Source organism: Homo sapiens, chromosome 22 (assembly GCF_000001405.40).
Source record: "Homo sapiens chromosome 22, GRCh38.p14 Primary Assembly".
Classification (NCBI taxonomy): domain Eukaryota; kingdom Metazoa; phylum Chordata; class Mammalia; order Primates; family Hominidae; genus Homo; species Homo sapiens.
In genome coordinates this window covers 37,829,738-37,850,988 of record NC_000022.11, presented here as the reverse complement: position 1 = coordinate 37,850,988, position 21,251 = coordinate 37,829,738, and the positions used below count along the sequence as shown (strand labels likewise).

The 21,251-nt window shown below is 51.1% G+C and overlaps 2 protein-coding genes and 2 non-coding genes across 20 annotated transcripts in view, besides 4 other annotated features; 3 read left to right on the top strand and 1 right to left on the bottom strand.

Moving 5' to 3' along the window:
* Positions 1-1,570, bottom strand: part of EIF3L (eukaryotic translation initiation factor 3 subunit L) — a 39,989-nt gene extending 38,419 nt beyond the window's left edge. For all 4 annotated transcript variants that reach the window (NM_016091.4, XM_006724260.5, NM_001242923.2 and 1 more), the window contains exons 1-2: positions 1,507-1,570; positions 926-974 (exon numbers count right to left, since the gene is read on the bottom strand). In NM_016091.4, coding sequence (NP_057175.1) covers positions 926-974; positions 1,507-1,539 — 82 coding nt within the window. In that variant the 5' untranslated portion in view covers positions 1,540-1,570. The remainder of the gene's footprint in view (positions 1-925; positions 975-1,506) is intronic.
* Positions 884-1,405: an enhancer, noted in NCBI's record as "NANOG-H3K27ac-H3K4me1 hESC enhancer chr22:38245591-38246112 (GRCh37/hg19 assembly coordinates)". NCBI's record gives its function as "activates a minimal SCP1, AML or CMV promoter by ChIP-STARR-seq in primed H9 embryonic stem cells {active_cell/tissue: H9 hESC(primed)}" and the evidence as "EXISTENCE:reporter gene assay evidence [ECO:0000049][PMID:30033119]".
* Positions 1,406-1,928: an enhancer, noted in NCBI's record as "NANOG-H3K27ac-H3K4me1 hESC enhancer chr22:38245068-38245590 (GRCh37/hg19 assembly coordinates)". NCBI's record gives its function as "activates a minimal SCP1, AML or CMV promoter by ChIP-STARR-seq in primed H9 embryonic stem cells {active_cell/tissue: H9 hESC(primed)}" and the evidence as "EXISTENCE:reporter gene assay evidence [ECO:0000049][PMID:30033119]".
* Positions 1,648-20,134, top strand: ANKRD54 (ankyrin repeat domain 54). Of its 14 annotated transcripts, XM_047441140.1 has the most exons (9): positions 7,141-7,372; positions 10,755-10,802; positions 12,391-12,489; positions 17,012-17,072; positions 17,234-17,305; positions 17,783-17,830; positions 17,907-18,031; positions 18,245-18,352; positions 18,972-20,134. In XM_047441140.1, exons 2-9 carry the CDS (start codon positions 10,782-10,784, stop codon positions 19,044-19,046), a joined length of 609 nt encoding a protein of 202 aa, XP_047297096.1. In that variant the 5' UTR covers positions 7,141-7,372; positions 10,755-10,781; the 3' UTR covers positions 19,047-20,134. The 14 variants fall into 14 exon arrangements, 10 of the variants coding, with proteins under 10 accessions (NP_001336782.1, XP_047297094.1, XP_011528179.1 ...); NM_001349853.2 differs by lacking the exons at positions 7,141-7,372; positions 17,012-17,072 and adding an exon at positions 1,648-2,760; XM_047441138.1 differs by lacking the exon at positions 7,141-7,372 and adding an exon at positions 1,648-2,760 and having other exon boundaries at positions 17,239-17,305; positions 17,783-18,031.
* Positions 1,929-2,451: an enhancer, noted in NCBI's record as "NANOG-H3K27ac-H3K4me1 hESC enhancer chr22:38244545-38245067 (GRCh37/hg19 assembly coordinates)". NCBI's record gives its function as "activates a minimal SCP1, AML or CMV promoter by ChIP-STARR-seq in primed H9 embryonic stem cells {active_cell/tissue: H9 hESC(primed)}" and the evidence as "EXISTENCE:reporter gene assay evidence [ECO:0000049][PMID:30033119]".
* On the top strand, positions 3,215-3,311 carry MIR659 (microRNA 659). Its single transcript, NR_030396.1, has one exon. It is a non-coding gene; the product is annotated as a microRNA 659 (primary transcript).
* Positions 6,485-7,184: a silencer, noted in NCBI's record as "silent region_13702". NCBI's record gives its function as "represses an Ori minimal core promoter by ATAC-STARR-seq in GM12878 lymphoblastoid cells {active_cell/tissue: GM12878}" and the evidence as "EXISTENCE:reporter gene assay evidence [ECO:0000049][PMID:35858748]".
* MIR658 (microRNA 658) lies at positions 6,618-6,717 on the top strand. The gene has a single exon (NR_030395.1). It is a non-coding gene; the product is annotated as a microRNA 658 (primary transcript).
* Positions 20,135-21,251: the final 1,117 nt, after the last annotated feature.

Here is a 21,251-nt window from a genome sequence, read left to right as displayed (position 1 = left end):
AAAAGTGTGCGTTGGAGGGGAGAGAGGCAAGACTGTTGGAAAGTAAGTGGTAACAGGTACTTAATATTTCTTGAATGAATAACTGTCACCTTTTAAATATATGACTGTGCCAAGTTACTACTAATAAACCTCTCTGCTATATTTTCTATTCTTTAGGAGACATTAACATACAGAACTGCTGTAAGGATTAAACAAAATATTTCATACAAAGTACTTAGAACAATGGATAACACTGACTACTAAGTCAAGTCACTATAACGTTTCAGGAAACCTCAGACACCTCCTAAAAAGATTTCATTCGGGCTTGGTTTGAATTACTTAAATTTTTCACATCAAGATTTTCTTCCTTGGGGCAGGCGCGGTGGCTCACGCCTGTAATCCCAGCACTTTGGGAGGTTGGGGCGGGTGGATCACCTGAGGTCAGGAGTTCAAGACCAGCCTGGACAACACGGCGAAACCTCGTCTCTATTAAAAAAATTTAAAAATTAGCTGGGAATGGTGGTGGGCGCCTGTAATCCCAGCTACTCAGGAGGCTGAGACAAGAGAACTACTGCTTGAACGAGGGACGCGGAGGTTGCAGTGAGCCGAGATCGCACCACTGCACTCCAGCCTGGGGGACAGAGGGAAACTCCATCTCAAAAACAAAAACAAAAACAAAAACAAAAAAGCTTTTCTTATTTGGCTAATAGTTTACACAAGAAAACCATAGCCAGGTAAGTAATCCTTCTCTTCCAAGACTGAGGTGGACTATGATAAAAAGCCTGGTTTATTAGGCTTTATAAAACCCCTCGCACTGGCAGCTAATGACTGACTCCAAACCTGGACCATCAAAGAGCAATTTTTGATGCCTGTCAGAGCTGGTTCTAAGACATTCCAAAGGAACTGATCCCTACGAGTACTCAGCCAGCCTAACCCGTGGTCTCACCTGTGTGCATATCATAGTCGCTGGGATAAGCGTAGGGGTCATAAGCCGCCTAGAAGGAAAGAGACACAGTCAAGGACAGCCGCCAAGTCGTGAATTCAAAACGCTCATCCTAGAGTCTAGATGCCAAGCAGAGAGCTAAGGATACAGAGGCGAATAAGACACTGTGCCTGCCTTTGAGGAACTCACACGCCTTAGAGAAAAGGGACAGTAAACAGACAATGACAATACAACATTACGGGTGCAATGAGGTGGAGCAAAGGACAAGAGGCTGTGGGAATCAGCGAGATTTGACCAGACGGAGCCTAGACCAAAAAAACTCAGGTGCAGAAACACAGAAACGTCTAACAGGCCTTAGTCTCCGGTCTTAGAAAGGGGAAGGACAAGCCAATCGAACACGCGAAGTGGGCGGGCAGAGCCAGGGTTGTCTAGGGACCGGGAACTGTGGGAGCAGCCTGAGGGCCGGGCGGGAGGTCGGCCGGAGCTGGCCGCGACCCGGAAGCTGCCTCGCGCCGGGACCCACATCCAGTGGTCCCAGAGATCACCCCGTCGTGGAGCCCACCGCGCCCTTACGGCCACCTTACCTCAGACTCATAATCATCAGCGGGATAAGACATGGCTGCCTCGCTTGCGAGCACCGCCGGAAAGAGCGAAATGAGCGGCCCGCGCCTGCGTCCTGAGGCCGGAAGTTCAGCCCCACTCGGGCCTGCCGGGAAACCGGAAGCCTTTCCGAGGCCTCTGGCCATCTGAGACAGCCATATCCAGAAGGAAGAGGAGCCGCGTTCCGTGGCTCACACCTGTAACCCCACCAGTTTGGGAGGCCGAGGCGGGCGGATCACCTGAGGCTGAGGCCGGGGGTTTGAGACCAGCCTGACCAATATGGAGAAACCCCGTCTCTACTAAAAATACAAAATTAGCCGGGAGTGGTGGCGCATGCCTGTAATTCCAGCTACTCGGGAGGCTGAGGCAGGAGAGTCGCTTGAACCCGGGAGGCGGAGGTTGCGGTGAGCCGAGATCGCGCCATTGCACTCTAGCCTGGGCAACAAGAGGGAAAACTCCGTCTAAAAAGAATAAGAGGGTTACAAGTAGCCTGAATTTTCCTCTCTTCAAATAGGGACTTCTCAAAGAAGGTGAATCTATAATAGTGGTGTAGATTCAGATATAAGGACACGTATTTGGCGTAAAGGAGAGGCAAAGTTAGAGGAACCAGAAAGAATGCTACACAAAAGATGGCCGGCTTCTCGCGTGAAGGAAGATTCGGATACGGGGGCCTGATGGATTTAGTTGTAGGCGGTTTGCCTGCAGCGAGTAAATTATTCAAACGTTCGGACTTCACAAGACTAAACTTACTGGGGATAAAAATTGAGATTTGGCCGGGCGCGATGGCTCACGCCTGTAATCCCTACACTTTGGGAGGCCGAGGCGGGTGGATGATCTGAGATCAGGAGTTCGAGACCAGCCTGGCCGAAATGGCGAAACCCCGTCTCTATTAAAAATACAAAAATTAGCCGGGAGTGGTAGCGTCCGCCTGTAATCCCAGCTACTCAGGAGGCTGAAGCAGGAGAATCGGTGGAACCTGAGAGGCAGAGGCTGTAGTGAGCCGAGATCGCGCCACTGCACTCCAGCCTGGGCGACAGAGCAAGACTCCGTCTAAAAAAAAAAAGAAAAAAAAAAATTGAGATTTGGTCCCATGCAGTAAGAGGGAATGGAGAACAGGAGCCACCCAACTTTGGACATTAAAGTTGGAGCAGGCAAAGATGAGGCCAGCTGTGTCGCGAAGCCTGGGACATGGGCAGCTCTTGAGTACACCGGGTTCGAGGCCAGGGGAAACCCTCAAGGTAGAGATGGGGTTATAAAGCAAACCAATAAAAACCGGTGTATGAGTCAAGGAGAGGCCTTAGTTTAGCCATCTGCCCATACACAACACCTAGTGGAAATCCGAGTTCCAGTCCCTACTCCGCCACTGATTTGCTGTGTGACCAGGACTCTCTGGGTCCCTTTGTCACGCCGCCCTCCTTGCTTTTCCCACTGAGGCACGCTCCACCTCTGGGATTTTGCACTCACTGTTATCCAAGTCTAGAATCGAATGCAGTGGCACCCCCACTCCCATTCCCTTCCCCATCGGTATCTGCATGGCACCTTCAGGTGTCTGCTCTGATGCCATCCACTCAACATCCTATTGAGAATTGCAATGCCCAGCCCCAACTCCCTATGCTGCGTTCTTGTTTTGTGTTTCTTCCTTGTGCTGTCACCAGAGGTGACACAAATTTGGAAATAATGGAGCTTAAGCTTTACCGACCCTCGATTTGGTTCAGGACCTTCCCTGAACCAAGGAAGAGTCACAGTCTCTTCCTTGGTTCAGGGAGGGTCCCCAACAATGTCCTCATGGTCCTTTGCTTTTGTAAAATTTGTGAAATATTTTTATTGCTGAAACCACCTTTGCAAAAATTGTAACAGTGAGAAAATAATGACAGTGAAAGAGATCTGATCTAACCAACCCTCATCTTCCATTTAATCTTCAGACTGCCCTTAATCATTCCTGGCTCGAACCGAGCTAACTTTGGGAGACATTTAGTTTCTAGTTTAAATAATAACCCTTCTCCGAGGCCTGGCACAGTGGTTCACACCTGTAATCCCAGCACTTTGGGAGGCCAAGGCAGATGGATCACCTGAGGTCAGGAGTTCGAGACCAGCCTGGCCAACATAGTGAAACCCCGTCTCTACTAAAAATATAAAATTAGCCGGGCATGGTGGCATATGCCTGTAGTCCCAGCTACTCGGGAGGCTGAGGCAGGAGAATCACTTGAACCTAGGAGGCGGAGGTTGTGGTGAGCCAAGATTGCACCACTGCACTCCAGCCTGGGCAACAAGAGCAAAACTGCCTCAAAAAAAAAAAGAAAAAAGAAAAGAAATTGGCCGGGCGCGGTGGCTCACGCCTGTAATCCCAGCACTTTGGGAGGCCGAGGCGGGTGGATCATGAGGTCAGGAGATCGAGACCATCCCGGCTAAAATGGTGAAACCCCGTCTCTACTAAAAATACAAAAAATTAGCCGGGCGTAGTGGCGGGCGCCTGTAGTCCCAGCTACTTGGGAGGCTGAGGCAGGAGAATGGCGTGAACCCGGGAGGCGGAGCTTGCAGTGAGCCGAGATCCTGCCACTGCACTCCAGCCTGGGCGACAGAGCGAGACTCCGTCTCAAAAAAAAAAAAAAGAAAAGAAATTACCTGAAATCTTATAGTCCATATATGACAGGAATTTGATACAGGTTGCTCCAATTTGACAACAATTCTCAAAATGTTCATGACATTTGAGAAGGAGTTGTGAAGTCAGAAGATTTTCATGGGGCTGGATGTGGTGGCTCATGCCAGCACTTTGGGAGGCCAAGGTGGGAGGATCACTTGAGCTCAGGAGCTCAAGATCAGCCTGGGCAATATAGTGAGACCCCATCTTAAAAAAAAATTGGGGCCCAGGCACTGTGGCTCACTCCTGTAATCTCAGCATTTTGGGATGTGGAGGCAGGAGGATCCCTTGAGGCGAGGAGTTCAAGACCAGCCTGAACAAAAAAGTGAGACCATGTCTACAAAAAATCAAAAAAATAATTAGCCAGGCACGGTGGTACACATCTGTGGCCCCAGCTACTCAGGAGGCTGAGGTGGGAGGAAAGCTTGAGTGCAGTGAGCTGTGATCACACCACTGCACTCCAGCCTGAGTGACAGTGAGAGATCCTGTCTCAGCACTGTATCCATTATGGGGCAGACGAGGAGAGTACAAATAAACATAGCATTTTTTTCCATATAGTACAATGATAAACCTCACAATGGCGACTGCAAACACTGAAAATTCTGGAAGTGCTTTTCCAATTGTAAGAGAAAGATTACTTTTTTTTTTCTTTTTGAGATGGAGTCTTTCTCTGTCGCCCAGACTGGAGTGCAGTGGTGCGATCTCGGCTCACCGCAAGCTCTGCCTCCTGGGTTCACGCCATTCTCCTGCCTCAGCCTCCTGAGTAGCTGGGACTAAAGGTGCCCACCACCACACCAGGCTAATTTTTTTGTATTTTTAGTAGAGACGGGGTTTCACCATGTTAGCCAGAATGGTCTCAATCTCCTGACCTCGTGATCTGCCTGCCTCAGCCTCCCAAAATGCTGGGATTACAGGCGTGAGCCACAGCGCCAGGCCTTTTTTTTGTTTTTGTTTCTTTCTGAGATGGAGTCTCGCTCTGTCACCCAGGCTGGAGTGCCATGGTGCGATCTCAGCTCACCGCAACCTCTGCCTCCCAGGTTCAAGCTACTCTCCTGCCTCAGTGTCCTGAATAGCTGGGATTACAGGCGTGCGCCACCACACCCAGCTAATTTTTGTATTTTTAGTAGAAACGAGGTTTCATCATGTTGGCCAGGCTTGTCTTGAACTCCCGACCTTGTCATCTGCCCATTTTGGCCTCCCAAAGTGCTGGGATTACAGGCGTGACCCACCGTGCGGAAAGATTACATTTTAACTGGGTTGAGTGGGAGGGTTTATATATGGAAAGAACTTTTGCCAGGACACAAGACCTGGTCCGGTGAGAGCTGGGCAACTGTGAATGAGTCTCTTCCCTCTGCTTTTCAACTCCTCACCTATAAAATAGGGATGGTCCTTCTTGTCTACTTTATAGAAGTGCTTGTGGGGTACGGGATTGTGAGAAGTTTTATGAAAACGTGCACCCATGAAATGTTGCTTGAGGAACACTTATTTGTTTCCTGGTCTTCTCCCATTGGATTGTGAGCATCTCAGGGGCACCAAGTCTGATCCTGTGTCCAGGACCTAGCAGTTACCTGGCTCAGTGACTGGCTGTCGAACTAAACTATTGCTCTAATGTAATCACTTTGTATTACAAATCTTTGTAGATCAGTCATCTACGTCGGGGTTACCTAGAGAACTCTGACTAAAGGAAATCCATTGCATTTAGACACTATTACTCACAGTTTGTAGTGGTATCTCCAAATTTCAACACATTTTCCCTTTCCCACGTACATTATGCATTTGTGGGAAGTTCTTTTTTTTTTTTTTTTTTGCGTTCATTGATTTACAACATCTATATCTACATGGATGGCGTGGCTTCTTCATTTTCCTTTGTGAGTGCCTGCAAATCATCTTAATCTGATTTGCTAAGGTATCTGCTTGTTTTCTCATTAGACTGGGAAATGGAGAGGAAAAAGAAAAAAAAAGGCCGGGCGCGGTGGCTCACGCCTGTAATCCCAGCACTTTGGGAGGCCGAGGCCGGCACATCTCGAGATCAAGAGATCGAGACCATCCTGGCCAACATGGTGAAACCCCGTCTCTACTAAAAATACAAAAATTAGCTGGGCGTGGTGGCGCGCGCCTGTAGTCCCAGCTACTCGGGAGGCTGAGGCAGGAGAATTGCTTCAAGGAGGCGGAGGTTGCAGTGAGCCGAGATCGCGAGCCTGGCGGCAGAGCGAGACTCCGTCGCAAAAAAAAAGCGTCTGAAATGCTGTTTTACTGGCTCCGGTAGCGACGTACAGCGAAAGCCAAGGTCACTTCAAGTTTGTAATTGGTTACAATGTCTGTCAGTCACGTTGCCGGAAACCCTGTCCAATTATCCTGCTTGTACTGTGCCCTCCCTTTCCGATTGGTTTTGGGACCGGTTTAAGCTGGAAGGGTAGTCATTGGTTCGCCGCTCTGTCTCGGCCTGAGCCCGCCCCCGCTCGGTTGCCGTGGTTGCGGGCCCTGCCCGCCCGCCAGCTCGCTGACAGCACGACTCAGGGCGGAGGGAAGTAGGTCCGTTGGTCGGTCGGGAACGAGGCTCAGGCGGCCAGGCCCGCGCGGAGCCGTTGCCATGGCAGCCGCCGCCGGGGACGCGGACGACGAGCCGCGCTCAGGCCACTCGAGCTCGGAGGGCGAGTGCGCGGTGGCGCCGGAGCCGCTGACTGACGCTGAGGGCCTCTTCTCCTTCGCTGACTTCGGGTCTGCGCTGGGCGGCGGCGGCGCGGGCCTCTCGGGCCGGGCGTCCGGCGGGGCCCAGTCGCCGCTGCGCTACTTGCACGTCCTGTGGCAGCAGGATGCGGAGCCGCGCGACGAGCTGCGCTGCAAGATACCCGCTGGCCGGCTGAGGCGCGCTGCCAGGCCCCACCGGCGGCTCGGGCCCACGGGCAAGGAGGTGCACGGTGAGCGGCGCGAGCGGCGCGGGGGCCCGGGGCGGGGCAGCCCGGGCGAGGGGCGGGGCCTCAGAGGACCAGTGGCCGCGCTTTGGTCGCCCCCGACCCTCAGCCGGGGTCCCCCGACGTCTGCGCTGAGGGCCACACTGACCCTTGAGTCTCCTTTCAGTAACGATGGTGATGATGGTTTTTTTAGAAAGTCTTCCTGCTCTGAGCCAGTCACCCCAGTCTTCTCTCACTGGGTAATTTCTGAATGGAAACTTCCCATGACTCGGAACGCTTATTGGTGAATAATAAAATGAGGTACTGGGGAACACTTTTATTATCATGGAGAGGGGAGGCCAGAGCCTGCAGCCAAGTCGTACCAGCTTGTTTAAATGCACGGACTTGGACTCCTTTACCACAGTTAGACCTTAGGGCAAATGATAGACCCTTTCAACCTTAGTTTTCTTTTTAAATTTTTTTATTTTTATTTATTTATTATTATTATCTTTTTGGAGACGGAGTCTCGCTCTGTTGCCCAGGCTGGAGTGCAGTGGCGCCATCTTGGTTCACTGCAACCTCCGCCCCCCGGGTTCAAGCGATTCTCCTGCCTCAGCCTCCCGAGTAGCTGGGGTTACAGGCGCCCACTACCAAGCCCGGCTAATTATTGTAATTTTAGTAAAGATGGGGTTTCACCATGTTTGCCAGGCTGGTCTCGAACTTCTGATCTCAGGTGATCCACCCACCTCGGCCTCCCAAAGTACTGGCATAACAGGCATGAGCCACTGGCCCGGCCTCAGCCCTAGTTTTCTCATCTGTAAAATGGGATGAGTTAAGTAAGGTAATGGATGTTTAGCTGTTATGCTGCCTTTGCTGTGCCCCAAACACTGCTGATACATGATCATCTGTCCTCACAAGAACTCTTTGAGACATAGAAATTGTTCCCACTTTACTGAAGAGGAAACTGAGGCTCAGAGAAATTGTCTTATTCCAGGTCACATAGCAAGTGGCTGTTGCTGGTATTAGAATCCGGGTCAGCCCGACTCAAACTTCTCCTCTGGTATATCTACCATATTGTCTTCTACAATGCATGGGTGACATGGAAACCCAGGCACTGAGAGATTAAGAATGGGGACTTTGGGGATTTCTTCCAGGACTGGCTATGACTCTAGCCATATTTTAGTGATGTCACGAAGATGAAATAAGAATTTGGAAGCGTTGTATTGACCATAAAGTGCTGTATGAAAGCAAGGAATTGTCATGTATCTGAATTGCAATTTTTGACCATATCTCCGATGACAAAGACATTGCTTTCCATTAGCCATTGGAGGGGGAAAATCTGCTTAGGAAATACCAAATTTAGGCAAATCATTTGGGAACGACCTGCTTTGAAGGAGAATATAAGATTATCTGTGTAACCAGCTCACAAAGAGCTTCTGTGTAAATCATTTGCAATAACTCGGGGCTGGCAGAACAACTCAGCCTTGTTTTGCAGATGATAGACCTGAGGCCCAGCTGGGTTAACTAGCTTGCTCAAGGTCACCCTGTGACTACAAGTGATAGAGAGGAAATCTGGCTCCAAAAGTCTTGGAGGATTTGCAGGAGGATGTGGCCTTTGTACTAGCTCCGCCTCATTTCAAGTTTCTCCTTGTTCCCAGGGCACTGTCTTTCTTTTCTTTTTTTGAGACGAGAGTCTCGCTTTACCACCCAGGCTGCAGTGCAGGTGGTGCAATCTCGGCTCACTGCCTCAGCCTCCCAAGTAGCTGGGACTACAGGCCCGCACCACCACACCCAGCTAGTTTTTGTATTTTTAGTAGAGATGGGGTTTTACCATGTTAGATTGATTTAAGTTAGAACTTAACCTAAGATTGAGAAATATTTTTTCTTTCTTTTTTTTTGAGATGGAGTGTTGCTCTGCCACCCAGGCTGGAGTGCCATGGTGTGATTTTGGGCTCAAGTGATTCTCGTGTCTCAGCCTCCCAAGTAGCTGGGATTACAGGCATGCACCACCACACCCGGCTAATTTTTGTGTTTTTATTTTATTTATTTATTTATTTATTTATTTATTTATTTATTTATTTATTTATTTTGAGACAGAGTCTTGCTCTATTGCCCAGGCTGGAGTGCAGTGGCGCGATCTTGGCTCACTGCAACCTCCGGCTCTCAAGTTCAAGTGATTCTCCTGCCTTAGCCTCCTGAGTAGTTGGGATAACAGGCATGCACCACCATGCCTGGCTAATTTTTGTATTTTTAGTAGAGAAGGGATTTCACCTTATTGGCCAGGCTGGTCTCAAACTCCTGACCTCGTGATCCACCCACCTTGGCCTCTCAAAGTGTTGGGATTACAGGCGTGAGCCACTGTGCCCGGCCTATGTTTTTTGTGTGTGTGTGTGTGTGTGTGTGTGTTTGTGTGAGACAGAGTCTCACTCTGTTGCCCGAGCTGGAGTACAGTGGCACAGTCTTGGCTCACTGCAACCTCTGCCTCCTGGGCTTAAGCGATTCTCCTGCCTGAGCCTCCCAAGTAGCTGGGATTGTAGGCGTGCACCCCCATGCCCAACTAATTTTTTGTATTTTAGTATAGACAAGGTTTCACCATGTTGCCCAGGGTGGTTTCAAACTCCAGAGCACAGGCAATCTGCCCACCTCAGCTTTCCAACGTTCTGGGATTACAGGCGTGAGTCACCACGTATGGCTAGTTTTGTATTTTTAGTAGAGATGGGGTTTCAGCATGTTGGCCAGGCTGGTCTTGAACTCCTGGCCTCAAGTGATCCACCTGCCTTGGCCTCCCAAAGTACCGGGATTATAGGCATGAGCCACTGCGCCCAGCCATTGTGGCTTTTTTTTTTTTTTTTTTTCCTGAGACAGTCTCACTTTGTTGCCCAGGCTGGAATGCAGTGGCGTGATCTCATCTCACTGTAGCCTCCGCCTTCCGGCTTCAACCCATTCTCCTACCTCGGCCTCCTAAGTAGCTGGTGTTACACGTGCACACCACCACACCCAGCTAGATGGCTGGGTTTTTTTTGTTGGTTTTTGTTGTTTTTGTTTTTTTCTGAGACAGCGTCTCACTCTGTCACCCAGGCTGGAGTGCAGTGGCGCGATTTTGGCTTACTGCAACCTCCATGTCCTGGGTTCAAGTGATTCTCCTACCTCAGCCTCCAGAGTAGCTGGGATTACAGGCATGTGCACCACACCCGGCTAATTTTTTTGTATTTTTAGTAGAGATGGGGTTTCACCATGTTGTCCAGGCTGGTTTTGAACTCCTGGCCTCAAGTGATCCACCTGCCTCGGCCTCCCAAAGTGCTGGGATTACAGACGTGAGCCATCATGCCCAGCCAATGGCTGTGTTTTTTTTGTGTGTGTTTGTTTGTTTGTTTGTTTTGAGACGGAGTCTCACTCTGTCACCCAGGCTGGAGTGCAGTGGCGCGATCTCTGCTCACTGCAAGCTCCACCTCCCAGGTTCACGCCATTCACCCGCCTCAGCCTCCCGAGTAGCTGGGACTACAGGCACCTGCCACCACGCCCGGCTAATTTTTTTGTATTTTTAGTAGAGATGGGGTTTCACCATGTTAGCCAGGATGGTCTCGATCTCCTGACCTTGTGATCTGCCTGCCTTGGCCTCCCAGAGTGCTGGGATTATAGGCATGAGCCACCGCACCCAGCCATGGCTGTTTTTTTAAACTGGCATCCGTTACTCTCTTTACAGCTCTGAAGAGACTGAGGGACTCGGCCAATGCCAATGATGTGGAAACAGGTGAGTGTGCACAGTAGGTCCAGCTACAGGGTCCCATGGGCTGGTTGGGGAAGGAAAAGGCCAGGTAATCAATATGTGGGAAGGCAGTCTGCAAACTCACGCCCTTGGAGCAGGCTCACTGTATTTATTGTCTGACTGTGCAGTCATCTTGCTGAAGGTAAGTCTGGCTTAGACACTCACTCTCCCCATGCTCCCCTGTCACTTTGAACTTCCTGATGTCATAGCATTTACCACCCTGTGGACTCCTTGATGGTGGAGACCATGTATACTTTTGTATCCCTGGCAGCCAGCACAGTCTTCTGCAAAGAGTAGGCACTAACTTTGGAACTTGTGGTTAATGGGAGTGAATACTCAACTTAGCTGCCACGGCCAGGTGAGGTGGCTCATGCCTGTAATCCCAGCACTTTGGGAGGCTAAGGCAAGAGGATCACTTGGGCTCAGGAGTTTGAGACCAGCCTGGACAACATAGGGAGACCTCGTCTCTACAAAAAGTAAATGTTAGCTGGGCGCGGTGGCTCACGCCTGTAATCCCAGCACTTTGGGAGGCCGAGCTGGGCAGATCACGAGGTTAGGAGATCGAGACCATCCTGGCTAACACTGTGAAACCCCATCTCTACTGAAAATACAAAAAATTAGCCGGACGTGGTGGTGGGCGCCTGTAGTGCCAGCTACTTGGGAGGCTGCGGCAGGAGAATGGTGTGAACCTGGGAGACAGAGCTTGCAGTGAGCGGAGATGACGCCACTGCACTCTAGCCTGCGCGACAGAGCGAAATTCTGTCTCAAATAAATAAATAACATAAGAAAAAAATTTTTTAAAAATGTTGTGGAAATTAGAGAAATATATAAGAAAAAATCCATGTCCGCAAAGGAACTAATCTGTTAATATTTTGATGAATATCCTTCAAGGCTTCTTTCCTATACACTGGAATTTTCTTTATGGGCTGGCTTGCAAACTGCTATATACACATGCTGTAGCCTGCATAATTTTTTGTGTATCATAAACATTTTTTCGGGCCGGGTGTGGTGGCTCACGCCTGTAATCCCAGCACTTTGGGAGGCTGAAGTGGGCGGATCACCTAAGGTCAGGAGGTCGAGACCAGCCTGACCAATATGGTGAAACCCCGTCTCTACTAAAAATACAAAAATTAGCTGGGGGCTACTTGGGAGGCCCCAAGTAGCTGGGGGATTGCTGCCTGCTGGGAGCATAGCATAGGCCAATAGCTTGGGCAGCTGTTTCCAGCCAGAATGGATGTGTATCCAAGCCGAGGTCACGGGAGGGGGACCACTGTCTATGCTAGGGATTCCTGTGACCCTAAAATTTCTGACCCTGAGGGCCTTGAACCTCCTACGATGTTCTATCACTAGACGTGTAGTTTGAGCACTCAGAATCCATGGCCTTCAGTTGTGCCCTCAGAAGAACAAGTTGCTTGTTCCCATAGGACCAGCATCTAGGAAGGGCTGCTTTCCTATGCATTGTCGATGTCTTGTCTAGAGGCACCCCTGAGCCTCCCTCTCCATCGCTCGGGTCTGCAGCTTAGCTAACATCGCCGCTTTCTCCCCCTTCCTCCCTCTGTCTTGGTGGTGTCAGTGCAGCAGCTGCTGGAAGATGGCGCGGATCCCTGTGCAGCTGATGACAAGGGCCGCACAGCTCTACACTTTGCCTCATGCAATGGCAATGACCAGATTGGTGAGTCCTGGGGAGGGAGGAGGGAGTAGGGCTAGGCAAGTAGTGTCTCTGCACAGGCCTTGGGGGAGGCGCTGCTGTCTGCACAGCCTTGGGATGCCCAGTTGTTCTGGATATAAGGAAGACTTGGCACTGCAGTGCCCTGCCCTTCTCCCTCTGTTAGCCTGTGGAACTGGCAATGTTAGACTGGGGCAGGGTAAACCTGGGGGAGATAATATGATTGACTGAGGATGAAGGGATATCTCCAACTAAGAGACCACTGGAGAGTGCAGGGCCCAGGCCTTCAAGACTTTCAGGTAACATTTACTCAGTGCCAACCACAGCAGCAGGACAGCTTTTCTCTTTTTATAGGAGTCTTTTTTTTTTTTGAGATGGAGTCTCGCTCTGTCGCCCAGGCTGGAGTGCAGTGGTGCCATCTCGGTTCACTGTAAGCTCTGCCTCCCGGGTTCACGCCATTCTCCTGCCTCAGCCTCCCAAGTAGCTGGGACTACAGGCACCCGCCACCATGCCTGGCTAATTTTTTATATGTTTTTAGTAGAGACGGGGTTTCACTGTATTAGCCAGTATGGTCTCGATCTCCTGACCTCGTGATCCACCCGCCTCGGCTTCCCAAAGTGCTGGGATTACAGGCATGAGAGACTGCACCCGGCCACACCGGTTAATTTTTTTGTATTTTTTAGTAGAGATGGGGTTTCACCATGTTGGCCAGGCTGGTCTTGAACTCCTGACCTCGTGATCCACCTGCCTTGGCCTCCCAAAGTGCTGGGATTACAGGCGTGAGCCACTGCACCAGCCTTGCATACTTTTACTCAAAGTTATCTCCATGAGATTCACCCATGAATACTGCCTATATCAGTACAGTCTTCCCTCAGTGTTCTTGGGATTGGTTCCAGGACCCCACTCAGATACCAAACTCCATGGATGCTCAAGTCCTTTGAAGTTGGCCCTCCATATCCTCGGGTTCTGAGTCCAGGGTTCATTGAATCTGTGGACACAGTATTCACAGTTAGGGAGGGTGGACTGTAGTTAGTACTTTCTTATGCTGGTTTGTATTTCATTGTGATATACCCCATTTATCCATTCTACTATTGACGGACATTTGTGGTGTTTCCAGGTTTTAGCTTTATGAATGAAGTGTTGTGAACATTCTTGTATATGTGATTTGTGGCTGTAAACACTCATCTATCCTCTATAAACCTAGGAATGGCATTGTTGGGTCACTAGGGTACACATGTATTTAGCTTTAGTAGGTACTACTAAACCTTTTCCCAAAAGGGATGTACTGACACACACTCCCACTCCCCACCAGCAGTGTAAGAGTTCCACCTTTCCCTACGTCCCTGCCAGTGCTTGCTGTTGTCTCTCTTTAATCTTAACCCTTTTGGTGTCTCATAGTGGTTTAATTTGCATTTCTCTGATGGCCAGTAACGTTGAGCACCTCTTCATGTGTTTATTGGCCTTTTTTTTTTTTTTTTGAGACGGAGTCTTGCCTGTCGCCCAGGCTGGAGTGCAATGGCGTGATCTCGGCTCATTGCAACCTCCACCTCCTGGGTTTGAGTAATTCTCCTGCTTCAGCCTCCCGGGTAGCTGGGATTATAGGCACGCATCATCACACCCAGTTAATTTTTGTATTTTTAGTAGAGACAGGGTTTCACCATGTTGGCCAGGCTAGTCACAAACTCCTGACCTCAGGAGATCCACCTGTCTCGGCCTCCCAAAGTGCTGGGATTACAGGTGTGAGCCACCATGCCCGGGCCATTTTTTTTTTTAAACTTTAAGTTCTGGGATGCATGTGCAGAACGTGCAGGTTCGTTACATAGGTACACCTGTGCCGTGGTGGTTTTCTGTACCCATCAACCCGTCATCTAGGTTTTAAGCCCCTCATGCATTAGGTATTTGTCCTAATGCTCTCCCTCCCCTTGGCCCCCACCCCCCGACAGGCCCTGGTATGTGATGTTCCCCTCCCTGTGTCCAATTATTGACCATTTTTACATCCTCTTTTATGAACTATATGTTCAAATCTTTTGTCCTTTTTTTTTTTTTTTTTTTTTTTTTGAGACAGAGTTTCACTCTTTGTTGCCCAGGCTGGAGTGCAATGGCGTGATCTCGGCTAACCACAACCTCTGCCTCCCGGGTTAAAGTGATTCTCCTGCCTCATCCTCCCAAGTAGCTGGGATTACAGGCATGCGCCACTACGCCCGGCTAATTTTGTATTTTTAGTGGAGACCGGGTTTCTCCATGTTGGTCAGGCTGGTCTCGAACTCCTGACCTCAGGTGATCCACCCGCCTCGGCCTCCCATAGCGCTGGGATTACAGGCGTGAGCCACCGCACCTGGCCTCTTTTGTCCATTTTTTTAAAAACAAGTTTTGCCTGGGCGCGGTATCTCACGCCTGTAATCCCAGCACTTTGGGAGGCCGAGGCGGGTGGATCATGAGGTCAGGAGATCGAGACCATCCTGGCTAACACGGTGAAACCCCATCTCTACTAAATATACAAAAACTTAGCCGGGTGTGGTGGCGGGTGCCTGTAGTTCCAGCTACTCGCTGAGGCAGGAGAATGGTGTGAAGCCGGGAGGCGGAGCTTACAGTGAGCCGAGATCGCGTGACTGCACTCCAGACTGGGAGAGAAAGCAAGACTCTGTCTCAAAAACAAACAAACAAACAAAAAAAACTAGTTTTCTGTCTTTTTCTTTTTTTGAGACAAAGTCTCACTCTGTCATCCAGGCTTACGTGCAGTGGCCTGATCACTGCCCACTGCAGCCTCAATCTCCTAGGCTCAAGCAATCCTCCTGCCTCAGCCTCCCAAGTAGCTGGGACGACAGGTGCACACCACCAAGCCCAGCTAATTTTAAAACATCTTGTAGAGACGTGGTCCTGCTATGTTACCCAGCTGTTCTCTAACTCTTGGGCTCAGGCGATCCTGTCACCTTGGCCTCCCAAAGTATTGGGATTACAAGCATGAGCCACTGCGCCTGGCCTTTTTCTTATTGATTTGTAAGAATTCTTTGTATATTCTGGTTAGAAATCATTTATCAAATATAAATGACTTGATTTTCTGAGCTTGCTGTTTCATTTTCTGAGTGGTATACTTTGATGAACACAAGTTCCTAATTTTATTTTTATTTATTTATTTATTTATTTGAGACAGAGTCTCACTCTGTTGCCTAGGCTGGAGTGCAGTGGTGTGATCTTGGCTCACTGCAAGCTCTGCTCCCCAGGTTCAAGCTATTCTCCCACCTCAGCCTCCTGAGTAGCTGGGATTACAGATGCGTGTCACCACACCCACCTAATTTTTTATTTTTAGTAGAGATGGGATTTCACCATGTTGGTCAGGCTGGTCTCGAACTCCTGACCTCCGATGATCCACCCGCCTTGGCCTCCCAAAGTGCTGGGATTACAGGCGTGAGCTCCTGTGCCCTGGCCTATTTTATTTTTTATTTTTTGGAGACAGAGTCTCGCTCTGTCACCCAGGCTGGAGTTCAGTGGCATGATCTTGGCTCCCTGGAACCTCCACCTCCTAGGTTCCAGCAATTCTCCTGCCTCAGCCTCCCAAGTAGCTGAGACTACAGGGGTATGCCACCACACCCAGCTAATTTTTGTGTTTTTAGTACAGACAGTTTCAACATGTTGAACAGCCTGGTCTTGAACTCCTGACCTCAGATGATCTGGCTGCCTTGGCCTCCCAAAGTGCTGGGATTACAGGCATGAGCCACCGTGCCCAGCCATGTTCTTAATTTTAATGAATCCAATTTATCAATATTTCTTTCCTTTCTCTTTTTTTTTTTTTTTTTTTTTTTTTTTTTTTGAGACAGGGTCTGTCTCTGTTGCCTAGGCTGGAGTGCACTGGCACCATCTCGGCTGACTGCAACCTCGACCTTCTGGGCTCAAGCCGCCCTGCCACCTCAGCCTCTCAAGTAGCTGGGACTACAAGTCTGCCATCACTATGCCCAGCTAATTTTTGTGTTTTTAGTATAGAGAAAGGGTTTCTCCATGTTGCCCAGGCTGGTCTTGAACTCCTGAGCTCAAATGATCCACCTGCCTCGGCATCCCAAAGTGCTGGGATTAACAGGCCTGAGCTCCCATGCCTGGCCTTTTCTTTCCTATGGTTAGTATTTTTGTGACCTATTTAAGAAATCTTTGCCTGCCCAAGATGTTCATGTTCTTCTGGAAGCCTGTTTTAGCATTCACACTTATGTCTATGGTCCCTCTTGAATTAGTTTTTGTACATGGTGTGAGGCTCAGCCTGACCTCCCTGTATGATGTCTGGGATCCAGGCTACCTGCCTATGCATCCTTCTGGGTATTGGCAGACCCTGGTGATAATACAGCACACCCCTGAGGTGATCCCAAGACTGCCAGGAGGGAGAGGTTATCCATGGAGCTCAGCATCATTTATTGACTTAATTCCTACCATGGTGCTTGGCTGTGGGAGAAGCAGAAAATGCCCTGGACAGCCTTCACCAGGAGCAGCTGCTATTGGAAGAACTTTACTTAACCCTTCAAATCTCATTCCTACACCTGCATAGGCCAAGAGGCCCTCCCCAAATCCTCAGTTCCTGGCCCTCAGGGCTTTGCCCATGAACTCTGGTAAGTAAGTGAGTGAGTGAGTGAATGAATGAAGTAACACAGCCATCCATGCTTGCATTCCGTGTCCCCTACTCTGAGCCAGCCTCTCTAGCTAGGTTAGGGGTTCAGGGTGCAGGCAATGGAAGCCTCCGACAACTCCTCTTGGGTTTGCCTGTTTCCAGTGCAGCTGCTCCTGGACCATGGTGCTGATCCTAACCAGCGAGATGGGCTGGGGAACACGCCACTGCACCTGGGTAAGCATGTCAGAAGTCACTAAGACAACTCATTTGCAGCAAAGAAAGGCTCTTTAGATGAAGAGGGTGGGGCCCGGCATGCTCCTGGCAGAAACTGTGAGTGTCAGGGAAGATCCTAGGCCTGCACTCCCAGGGCTGCACTGCCCAGCAGCCTGTGTCCCATGGGCCTTCCAATCATTTAGCAGTTGGCTGTGCCCTCGGCAGAGCCAATTTAGCAACCTAGGCTAGCCCAGCAGCACTCAGCACTGTGGCTCACACTGAGGCAGATCCTATCTCCAGGCCTCAGTTTCCTCTGCTGTACAGGGAGGGAGTTGAACTTGACTTCTGAGTCCTACCTAGCTGTGCCTTGGCGATACCTTCTCAGTAGGCATAACTTGGCACAGGCGTCTGGGAGACACAGCCCTGCTCCCTCCAGTGGCCACGCAGAGCCAGGCTCTGGTGGTCCTGGATTCTTAAGTCTCTGTTGTTCTTCCTCAGCGGCCTGCACCAACCACGTTCCTGTCATCACCACACTGCTACGAGGAGGTATGTGGTTTCTTCCCCTCTCTGTCCTCTTTCTCCCCCTCACCCCCAGAATGCTCACCTCAGCTGGTACCTGCAGGGGCCCGTGTAGATGCCCTGGACCGAGCTGGTCGCACACCCCTGCACCTGGCCAAGTCAAAGCTGAATATCCTGCAGGAGGGCCATGCCCAGTGCCTAGAGGCTGTGCGTCTGGAGGTGAAGCAGGTGAGTACCCCTTCTGTGTGGAGACCACGGCACCAAGGCAGCACTGGACAGATGCTGCCCTAACCACAGACACACCTGCCTCTGGTCCCAGGGCTCCTGGGTTGTTTCACACTGACCCCAGTTGGCACCTGCTCCACTGTGCTTTTTGGAAGCAGCATCAGCCTGTCTGCCTCCCTAGGAACCCAGGCAGCTCAGCTCACCCTCTTGTTCCAGATCATCCATATGCTGAGGGAGTATCTGGAGCGCCTAGGGCAACATGAGCAGCGAGAACGCCTGGATGACCTCTGCACCCGCCTGCAGATGACCAGTACCAAAGAGCAGGTGAGCTGCAGCCACAGGCCCAGACCCAGGGCCTGGCAGGAGCCTCAGGGCCAGTCCACCCTGCTCCGATGCCACCAGACACTCGTATCAGAAAGAGGCTGTGGGCTGGGGCCAGCCGCAGGGGCTCACACCTGTAATCCCAACGCTATGGGAGGCTGAAGTGGGAGGATCACTTGAGGCTAGGAGTTCGAGGCTGCAGTGAGCTGTGATTGCCACTGAACTCCAGCCTGAGTGACAAAGCAAGGTCCTCTCAGAACATGTGGAAAAAGGCAAAAATTATAAAAACAACAAAAAAAAAAACCAGAGCAAGGCCCTGTCTCAAACAAAAAAAGTGGGGGAAAGAGCCTATGATTGTGGGGTTGCAGGCTTCAAAGCCTCCGTTCACTTCCTTTGAAGTTGCCAGTGGCTAGTGTGTGTTCATGGCCCTGCCCTCTAGGACAGCGCTAGGCCACCTGGTGTCAAAGATTGACCCTTGGTCAACTGCTGCGTAGTCAGAAGCCACCACACGCCCTGGGAGGAGAGACCGTGCCTGTGTTCTGTGCCTGTGGGATTGTGGAAGAGACCCAGGAGCCCTGGCACACCCCGTGTCCCATAACAGAGCCTCTGTTCCGTCCTGCAGGTGGATGAAGTGACTGACCTCCTGGCCAGCTTCACCTCCCTCAGTCTGCAGATGCAGAGCATGGAGAAGAGGTAGCAAGAGAGGCTCCCTGCCTTCCTGCCACTGCCCCACCCTGCCCCACTGCTGTCTCAGTACCAAGAAAAAGCCCAACATCTGGGACTTGGAGCTGCACTTGTCTGGTGAGGACCTTGCCCTCACCCGCAGATGCCGTGGGGCAGAGATGCTCTCTCTCCACGGCCTCAGAGCCACTCCCAGCCACAGTTTCCAGCATCTCTGTGGACAGGGACCACAGCTCCCAGCTTCTTCCAGTTCTCGCAGCACCAGACCAGCCTCTGCAGCTGCACTTCAGCTCCGCAGACCTGCGCTATCTCAGCAGACCTCACTTGCCCCATGGCCTTCATGGCGCGCTCCAGGCCTCAGACCCTTCTCTGTGTTCCGTCCTGGCCATGGGCTTGTTGCAGTCAGCAGGTGTGGGCTTAGGCGGGCACCCTGTGGCCAGGGGTACTGCGTGAGGCCCTCAGTTGGTCCTGTGCCTCTCACCAGCACTTAGACAGACACGTCACCAGACTTTCAAGGAGATACTGCAGTGAGTTTCTCTGGTTGGAAGGGGAGGGTTGGTGAGTCCCAGACCTTAAAAATACAAGGTTAAGAGGGACCCCAAAGCAAAAAATTCCAACCCTTTTCCTCCCAGTCATTGAAACACCAAAACTATTATACCGGAGGGTGTAATAGTTTTGCTGCCCAGTTGTGGTAGGCCAGTAGTGGCCTCCCAAGATGCCCATGTCCTAATCCCAGGAACCTGTCAAAATTACCTTGTATGGCCAAAGGGGCTTTGCAGATGTAATGAAGTTAAGGATCTTTCGCCAGGAAGATTATCCCAGCTTGTTCAGGAGGGCTTGATGTCCTCACCCGGGTCTGTATAACAGAAGAGCAGGTGACGGGAGAGGAGGTTGGAGGTGTAGCGATGGAGCAGGAAACTGGAGTTGAGGAGGGCAGCTCAAGCCACAGAGTCCAGGCCACCTCAGAGCCAGGAAATGCATCCTCCCACAGAGCCCTGGAAGGCCCCAGCCCTGCTCCCACCTGGACTGGCTCAGTGAGGCTAATTTTATAATTCTGGCTGATTTTAGAACTCTAAGGGAATAAATTTGTGTTGTTTTAAGTCACTAAGTGTGTGGTAATTTATTGCAGCAGCAACCAGAAACTAGTATTGTAGTGAAGCCCCAAAAACTCACCTTGAGGTTCAGTCCTGTCAGCAGCCCCGCTCCCCGCTGCAGGAGCACCAGTCCTTTGCTGTGGGCCATGGACAGGCAGAAGGAAGCGTGCGCTCCTAGCGGAGGCCTGCTCAGGGAAAACCCAGGGGATGGCACTGCTGGGCCCGCCCCTGCCCCAAGGCTGCTGATGGTGACTTTCTCCAGGTGATCAGTCCGTGTCCCGCCTGGCTCTGCCCTACTCTCCCCTTCACCAAGTTGGAATCCCTGTCTACCTTTCAGAGGAGGAGAGTGTGTTCCCCAAACCCAGCTTGGTATGGCTCAGATCTGCATTGAACTCATAGAACCTAGGCCAGGCCTTGGAGGAAAAAAGGGTCTGTCTGTGGGTATGAGATGTAGGGTAGGCCTGTCCCCAGGACCCTGTGAGAGGGAAGCCCAGTGCCCCACCAGGTTGGCAGGGCTGGGGAAGGGAAAGTGCAGTGGCCCCAAGCCTGAAGAGAGGCGGCAGAGGGAGCTGTGGGGCGCGCCCGTGGAACTCAGGCCACTGCCTGAGGTAGGTAAGGGAGGATGGCACCCCAGTCACATGGAGAGCAGAGGTGCGGTTCTGGGGTAGCTTTTCACTCGCTTCCTGCCATGTTACTCTGATCCCCTCCAGGTGAGCCTGCCCACTTTCTGGGCCCAGGGTTGCCATTGTATCCAAACACAGCCCCCCCATGGCCATGGCCCTGGGAATGGGGCAGAGCAGAGAGGAGTCCAGGGCAGAGGGGAGGCAGGGGCAGGAGGGAGCGGGCCTCAAAGTCCAGGAAGGGGGCTTTCTCATGGGTCCTGCTTGCCAGGTCTGTCCTCTCTCACCCTGGCCTGATCACCTGGGGAAGAATTGAGGCAAGGTTTCTCAACCTCAGGCCCAAGGGGTTCAATTAGCGAGCCCTTAGGGAGGTGTGAGCCCCCGAAACGGTGCAAGGTTTTGTGTGGAGAGTACACACATGCGTTTCTGGGAAACAGGTCCACAGCTCTCATTCTCATTCTCAGCAGGCTTCACACTCAAAAAAGGTTAGAACCCTTGCTACAGAGC

What these genes read in the sequence shown, in the direction of transcription:
- ANKRD54 (XM_011529877.3), top strand. Translation starts at nt 6,751, where the DNA reads ATGGCAGCCGCCGCCGGGGACGCGGACGACGAGCCGCGCTCAGGCCAC. An exon ending in TGCCAATGATGTGGAAACAG is followed by an intron (nt 10,803 to 12,390) that starts GTGAGTGTGCAC and finishes TGGTGGTGTCAG; the next exon opens with TGCAGCAGCTGCTGGAAGAT. An exon ending in TGACCAGTACCAAAGAGCAG is followed by an intron (nt 18,353 to 18,971) that starts GTGAGCTGCAGC and finishes TCCGTCCTGCAG; the next exon opens with GTGGATGAAGTGACTGACCT.